The 8,329-nt window shown below is 35.8% G+C and overlaps 1 protein-coding gene across 1 annotated transcript; it reads right to left on the bottom strand.

The window, feature by feature from the left end:
* Positions 1–269: 269 nt before the first annotated feature.
* On the bottom strand, positions 270–8,329 carry OR2T33 (olfactory receptor family 2 subfamily T member 33). Its single transcript, NM_001004695.2, has 2 exons — positions 8,118–8,329; positions 270–4,175 (listed from the first exon to the last, which is right to left on the bottom strand). The coding sequence occupies exon 2, from the start codon at positions 4,165–4,167 to the stop codon at positions 3,205–3,207; it is 963 nt and encodes a 320-aa protein (NP_001004695.1). The 5' UTR covers positions 4,168–4,175; positions 8,118–8,329; the 3' UTR covers positions 270–3,204.

An 8,329-nucleotide genomic window follows, 5' to 3' on the forward strand; every position in this document is an offset into this window, starting at 1 on the left:
GATGGTAGTTTCTTTTGCTGTGCAAAAGCTCTTTAGCTTAATTAGATCCCATTTGTCAATTTTGTCTTTTGTTGCCATTGCTTTTGGTGTTTTAGACATGAAGTCCTTGCCCATGCCTATGTCCTGAATGGTATTGCCTAGATTTTCTTCTAGGGTTTTTATGGTTTTAGGTCTAACATTTAAGTCTCTATCTTGAATTAATTTTTGTATAAGGTGTAAGGAAGGGATCCAGTTTCAGCTTTCTACATACGGCTAGCCAGTTTTCCCAGCACCTATATACCCAAGGATTATAAATCATGCTGCTATAAAGACACATGCACACATATGTTTATTGAGGCAGTATTCACAACAGCAAAGACTTGGAACCAACACAAATTTCCAGCAATGATGGACTGGATTAAGATAATGTGGCACATATATACCATGGAATACTATGCAGCCATAAAAAAGGATGAGTTCACGTCCTTTGTAGGGACACGGATGAAGCTGGAAACCATCATTCTCAGCAAACTATCGCAAGGACAAAAAACCAAACACAGCATGTTCTCACTCATAGGTGGGAATTGAACAATGAGAACACTTGGACACAGAAAGGGGAACATCACACACCGGGGCCTGTTGTGGGGTGGGGGAAGCGGGGAGGGATAGCACTAGGAGATATACCTAATGTAAATGATGAGTTAATGAGTGCAGCACACCAACATGACACATGTATGCATATGTAACAAACCTGCACGTTGTGCACATGTACCCTAGAACTTAAAGAATAATTTTAAAGAAAAAGTGAAAGAAGCCAGACATAAAAGCTCATATCTTTTATGATTCCGTTTACATAAAATATCTACAGTAGATAAATCCAGAGAGACCAAATGCAGATTGGCAGTTGCTAGGGGCTGAAATGGGGAGAAAAACTGCTTAATGGATGAGGGGTTTTACTTTGGAGTGATGGAAGTGTTTTGGAGTTAGTGATGATGGTCGTACAACATTGCGAATGTAGTAAATGCCACTGAGTTGTTCACATTAAAATGCTAATTTCATGTTAAAAAAATAGATGCCATCCTTTCATTCTTGAAGTATATAATTTTTATAGAGATAATACATAAGAAACACCCACTAATCGTAGAAAACAAAATTATATATTGGACTTTACAAAAATCAAAATCTCTGCTCTGAAAAATATACCATTAAAATAACAAACAGGCTAGCCAAAAAGCAGGAAAAAATATTTATAGTACAGATGTTTGACAAAATACTTTTGTCCAGAATAAATAAAAAATTTAAAACTGAGTAAAATAAATAAAAACAAAAACATTTTGGCCAAAGATATAAAGATACTCTTCTTAAAATTACATATATCAATGACTGGTCAGCATCTAAGAAGGCACTGAACTTCATTATTCTCTAGGTAATGGCATATTTTAAAATGACATAAAGATACCACCACTAGAAGGGTTAAAATTAAAAATATTCAAATGCCAAATGCTAGTTGTTTTAGTTTTCTCCTGTATATTAGGCTTAATTTTCTGGTTAGAATATTTTATCCTTACAAAATTTTATAGGCTTAGTTTACCATTTTTAGCTCAACATGTTCTAAAATAATTTCTCTGATGGTGAATGAACCTGGTATGAGTAATGAAATTTCCATGACTACATTTACTTGTGTAAATTTCACCCATTCTAAGAGAAGATTTTTTTAGATGGTATAAATGACAGAATTTGTGCAGTTCTGCTCCTTTCTCACCCTAACACTGGGTAAGGAGATAAAATTAACAAGAGTAGCAAACAAAAGTATCAAACAGATGACACTCTCTCCTTTCATCCTCAAGTCTTCCAAGGAGAAAAGAGTTACTGAATAACCTTCTCTTGAGACATAGGCTCAGGATCTGCATGCACTGGTTAAGGTACTATCTTAAATATATTACTGCTTTGGAACCTGAAGCTCTAGATGAAGCAGAAAACTCCTTTCATTTGTTCTAAAACAAGTCCCTTTTGAAATTCAGGATGGCCAGAAATGGCAGGTTAACTTTCAGACACTTATATTGAAGATACACTGTCCCTGGAAGCTCTTAGTTATGTCCCACTGTGTGTTTAAAACTTATATTATTTCTTAAGTGTGTTTTACATACAGGAAATATAGCCTTTATCATAAAACTCTCTAAGACGATTTGATATCCAGTCTCTGGTTACAATTTGGCTTTGATAACCACAGCTTTCTGCCATCACTATCTAGCTTGTGTCTTTATTAATAGAATAGTCTTCTTTTTTTTTGTTTTGCAAACCCCAGATCTTTAGAAGGTGTCCCAAATTTTTCAACAGAAATACCTCTAATTACCTATGTCTTGGCAGAAGTAAGGTGGTGACACAATAATGTATAAGGTTGTTGAGTGTTACTCAGTTTTGATAATTCATTGTTAGTAACTGTCAAGATTCAGCATGATTATGCAATTCAGAGTTCATATCGATGGAGGTATGTCAATAAGTCAAGGTAACCTTAAAGCAGGTGTAGAAAACAGAACTTAGTTGTAGTTTAAAACAATTTTCCAATTCAATTACAATGAGGCCCTGGAAAAAAAAATACTTAAATGAAAGGTTACATAAATTAAAAAAGGCTTACGTTTAAACACCAAATAGACTGTTGAAAAAATACAAAAAAATTGTGGCAATATAGCAGTTACATTTGAGTTGTGGACTTTCCCTTTTGTCATGCATCTATATTTTAAAATATAACATAAAAATAATATTTTTCTTTGGTGGAGTCCTCATATTTAGTTTTTAATTGTAGAGCATACACCTATGAAATAACACTCAAAATACATTATTGAACAGAAATAAACTATTCCAGGTTAAGGAACAAGCTCTGGAGTCACTTCTTATTATTTCCGTGCTGTGTGAAATTGGGAACAATATTTACCTTTCCATGCATTAATTTCTTTTTTTAGAAAGTAGGAGATATTGTCAACAGTACTTATATCATGGGGTTGTTGTAGGATACAAAGTAATCCATAGATACTACTTCACTTGAAGAAAAGTACATAAATGCTAAAAATGGTATCTCTCAATACAATTAGCTCACTTAATTCTTAAAAATATCCTATTATATCAATGCAAAAACTTAATTTTCTCTGCATGAATTGCTAAAGGGAGAGAATAACAATGTGTTAAAATATTAATAAATTCAGGAACTTAGACTCATTTGACATTAGATCATCTTGACCTGTGGGCCTCATTTTGCTGGTGTTTTATGTTTACACACGTCCCCAGCCACCGTTTCAGGGCTCCCTTCACCTCACTGTTCTTCACACTGTAGATGAGGGGGTTTAGTAAAGGGGTGAACATAGTATAGAAGGCTGACACAACCTTGTCATGGTTAGTGGACCTATGGGATTTGGGTCTCATATAGGTAAAAATGGCAGCTCCATAAAAGAGTCCCACCACAGCCACATGTGAAGAGCAGGTGGCAAAGGCCTTCTTGCGGGCTTCTGTAGAGCGCATGTGCAGAACAGCAGCGAGGATGAGACCATAGGAGGACAGGATGAGGGAAAAGGGGACCAGGAGCATTAACACACAGCAGATGTACATGGCGTTTTCGAAGACTGAAGTGTCAGCACAAGCCAAACGCACCAGCACGGGGGTCTCGCAGAAGAAGTGATCGATCTCGTGTGCACCACAATATGGGAAGCTCAGGGTAACAACAGCCTGCAGGAGCCCGTCAGCTGCACCCAGGAGCCAACACGACATGGTCATCCTCAGGCACAGCTGCCAGCTCATGAGAGTGGGATATCGGAGTGGGTGGCAGACAGCCGCATAGCGGTCATAGGCCATGGCTGCTAAGAGGAAGCACTCTCCACCACCCAGTGTGGGGAGGAAGAAGATCTGCACACCACAGCCAGCGCGGGAGATGGCCTTACTTCCGGTCAAGTAGTCAGCCGCCATTTTGGGCACAGTGGTGGAAACCAGCATCATGTCCATGAGGGAAAGTTGGCTCAGGAGGAAGTACATGGGCGTGTGGAGCCGGTGGTCCCAGTGAATCAGGAGAATCATGAGGGAATTGCCAAACAGGGAGGTCAAAACGATACTCAGAACCATCATGAAGAGGACTTGGTGGGCTCTGGTGTGGTTAAAGAGTCCTAGGAGAATAAAATCTGGGGTAGTATTTCTCATCTCCATAATTTCCCCTGGTGTGATGGTGCAAATGGAAAAATAGAGAAGGAAGAGGCTTTTATGGTCTGAATAACTGTTTGACTGCACAGTTTCCGGACATACGTACTGGGTATGTTATCCCAGGTAGTGATTCAAAGCCCTAACTCCCAGTGAGCATGGCTTTTCCTGACCTGGCATTCACTTCTCTGTAGCTCAACTTTTTAATGTTTTAACTGAGATCGTGTACTACAAACAGGAGTATATTTACAGATCAAAATGAATAAAAATATTTTTTCAACTCTCAAGAATTAGTGGTAAAGTGTTATGATTTTTATATTACTCGTATTAATATTATTGTGTTTTTGTTATGTATACTGATGGAAAAAGGAAGGAAACACTGACTTAAAAGTGTCTCATTTAGATTTGAGTCACAGTTTATTTATATTCAACTTTTGGAAACCCAAACATATTCAAGATAGGTCTTTTAAAAACTAAACAAGAAGTTACAGTTGCTTTATTTTAGGTTACACAAGGACCACATAATGGAATATGTGAGTGTAAATAAAACATTTTTTCCTTTGAAGAACAATAATATCTCACACAACTGATGAAATTTTTTTCCTTCCTCCCACTACATACCTTCTTAGTTGTCTTACTGTTAAATGCAGTCATTCTAGTTTACCTCCTCCTGCTTTGAAACCTTTAGCATCTGCCCTTCACTCTTCAAATAAAATTCAGAATTCTATCCCACACTTACAGTGGCTTGTAGACATGCCTCACACAACATTTTGCCATGCAGTATACTGCCATGGAGACCTAGAAAGGCTGGGTGAATATGAGAGGGAAGCATGAGAGAATCTTTGATATTGATAAATGCTGGGGGAGAGTAGTAGTAACTATAATGAGTAAGTAGTACTTCGAGTAAGAAAAGGATAGGAAACAGCTTAAAAATGGTTGAGTGTTGCTATTGGTCACAGACAAGTTATCGAAAAGATTTGCAAATTAAAAAGCCACTATTATTGTAAATACTTAAATTGATATTTGGCCTGTCTGTTTCAGATTTTTAAAATATTTAACAAAATCGATTTATTTTCTTAGGAGACACAATCAAAGTAACTGAGCTAACAAAAATGTGTACAACTTCATTTAGAAAGCTTTTGCAGGTTGAGGACTGTTACATATTGAACATAAAAAAAAGTTTTTTAGTGTTTACCATTTTTAAACTCCATACAAAGAAGAGAACTTGTCAACTCATAAAGAGAAGAGCACAAAGAGGCAAAGAGCTAATTTCCCACTTTTATTCATAGAATATTCGCAAATGTCATGCCTTTGTATATTTGCAGGATTTTAGACCTCATCTCATACACAGATGGTCTCATTCAGGGCCTTCAGAAAGGCAGTGCCAATGACTGGTTAAATTACTACATCCACTATATGAGCATTCAGATGTGAGCAGACACAAACACACAGTAACACCAGCGTCTTTGAGATGGCTTATTTAAGCATTGGCTATCAGGGAAATAAACAAAGATTATAGGACAATAAAACAGGCAAAATAGGCAAAGACACTACATGTGCCAAGCCTGTGCCAAGCCTTGTTGGTTGCATTACTGTCTTCCTATGTAGTGTATGCAGTCCCTTTATTTTACATACTATTTAAAGTATCTTTCTCATGTGATTGCCACAGCCCACTGACTCCTTGACCACAGGCTTCCACTGCCTCCATTATAACTTTAAACCACCATCAGACTCCTTTTATTAATGCAGAATGCATGGATAAAGGAGGGCAGGACTTGATATTAAAAAGTCCTTGTTTAAAAATCACTGTTGTCCAAACCACCATCGCGCGTGTATACCTGTGTAATGAACCTGCATGTTTGGCACATGTATCCCAGAACTCAGAGTAAAATAAAATAGAATAATAAAATAGAGTGTGCAGAGAAGCACCAAAAAAAAAAAAATCACCTGTGTCTAGTCAGCTTTTTCCAGATTACAGTAGGTGTACCATTGCTGGTATGTGTCATGATTTTAGGAAGTATGTGAAATAACATTTTCTACCTGAAAAGTTACATGACTTTTATTTGTGCTAAGAAAAAGGTAAACATTAAATCATGGGAAAAAAGAATCATTTCTGTCATTTTATATTATGATATAAGGGGAAAGTTACTTAACATTTTTGTTTTCTTTTGTTTTGTTTACTCATATGTTTTTAAATCAGCGGTCCCCAACATTTTCCACAGATGGGGGTTGTAGGAGAGGGGATGGTTTCGGGATGATACTGTTTCACCTCGGATCATCAGGCATTAGATTCTCATAAAAAGCATGTGATATAGATCCCTCACACGTGCAGTTCACAATAGGACTCACACTCTTATGAGAACCTAATGCTGCTGCTGATCTGAAGGAGGCAGAGCTCAGTGGGTAATGCTCCTTCACCTGACGCTCACCTCCTATGCAGCCCAGGTCCTAACAGGCCACAGATCAATACTGAACTTTCTAAAAAGATTACTAAAAAGAAATTACATGATTTTTGCATATAACAGAGTTTGAAAATAGTTTTTTTAATGTCATATTGCACACCAAAACAAAATTTTAATTTTTAATTTAATTTATTAGTTTAGTTCATTTTATGGTGCCATATTTTGACGTATTCAGAAGCTTGACAATCACAGCATAAAATATTAATTAGATTATTGAACTGAAGGCTATGGTGACATGATGGTGAAAGTCTAAGATCTGAAAATTCTTAGATTCTCTAAATGCTTATACTTTTTCATTCTGAATGGTTATACTTATTCAAAATTGAATTCTCTTCTCTACAGACAGAGGTAAAGAGTAAACATCACTTTAATTTGGAACCATTGTTTTTTTCTTTAACATTAAAAGTTAACAAAAATAAATAAACCAGCATCATCCTAAGCTGTGAAAAATTATGATGTATAATATTGTTATAGATGAGACTTTTCAGCACATTGTATCAGTCAGATAATTTAATAGAAAATTTGGTTTAACTGTAGTAATTCTTCTTTCAGGTATACAGAGCTATTGCAGCTTGACTGTTTTTACTAATTACCATCCAATGTATTTTTTGAATAAAGGATTTTTTGGCATTGTAAATATACAGCTATATTTATTTGTCAAGTGGACCATTAATCCATCAACTAAAGGCTATATTAACTCAGCAAATTATAATAATGTGAACAGATGCTTATAAATATTTCTTCTTCAAGTCAATTCATGGGCTGTTATTAATTCTAAGCTATTAAATAGGATAGCTGGACTTAAAACATTCTAATATTTTTATATTTTATGTATAAAATATATATTTATATATTTTTCTACATATATTTATATATATTTCTAGTATGTATATTTATATTTACTTCTATTTGTCTTTCTTAGCTCTTCTAGGCAATTTCTTTAGATGTAGGTGAGGAATGTTGTGTCTATTAACTTCAAAACCATGCCCTTTCTGAAGCTGGTAGGTAAACTGATTATCATCCCCTTCCCCACATTCATACTTACTTGAAAACAGACACAGATCACTGTTCTGGAACAATAGAGTTCCACTCAACAATCTTATTTTCTCTTCTTTCTGACATCCTACCCTCCACAAAGGCAGTGTCTGTATGTCCACAAGCTATTGATATAACATGGGGAAAATATTGAAACAGCCACACTGTTCAGTAGAAAAGAATCCTCTAATACAAATTCAATCATTTGACTTAATTAACAACTTTATTCAAGAATTTTTGGCTTTTTGGTTCTGGGTAGACACAGACTGCATCTTACATATTCAAAACACCCCGTGGATGACAGGAAAACATTTACTTTGTGTGATTTGTCCCTCAACTTTACAAAGGTTACTTTACAATTCAAAATTCATATGTAGAATGCCAAATACATAATAAATATGAGTAATTTGAAATTACTGCCTAAAGTAAAGGAAAAATAATTCTCAAACAAATTAGACTCACCTTTGTAGTGGAGAATCACAGCCAGTGTGACATATATATGGGACTGAATCTTTCTGATGGTTTGAGTACAAATGTTTGCTTAATCTTAGTGTTGTGGATACTGCTTTGTGCCTCTGGTCTCATGCTCTATTTAGTTAAAAATCCTATGTGGTCACTGAAAGTTTCCAACAACCAAATATCTTCCCTGGAGCTATGCCACTTGGAAAGGTAAA

Source organism: Homo sapiens, chromosome 1 (genome assembly GCF_000001405.40).
Source record: "Homo sapiens chromosome 1, GRCh38.p14 Primary Assembly".
Lineage (NCBI taxonomy): Eukaryota > Metazoa > Chordata > Mammalia > Primates > Hominidae > Homo > Homo sapiens.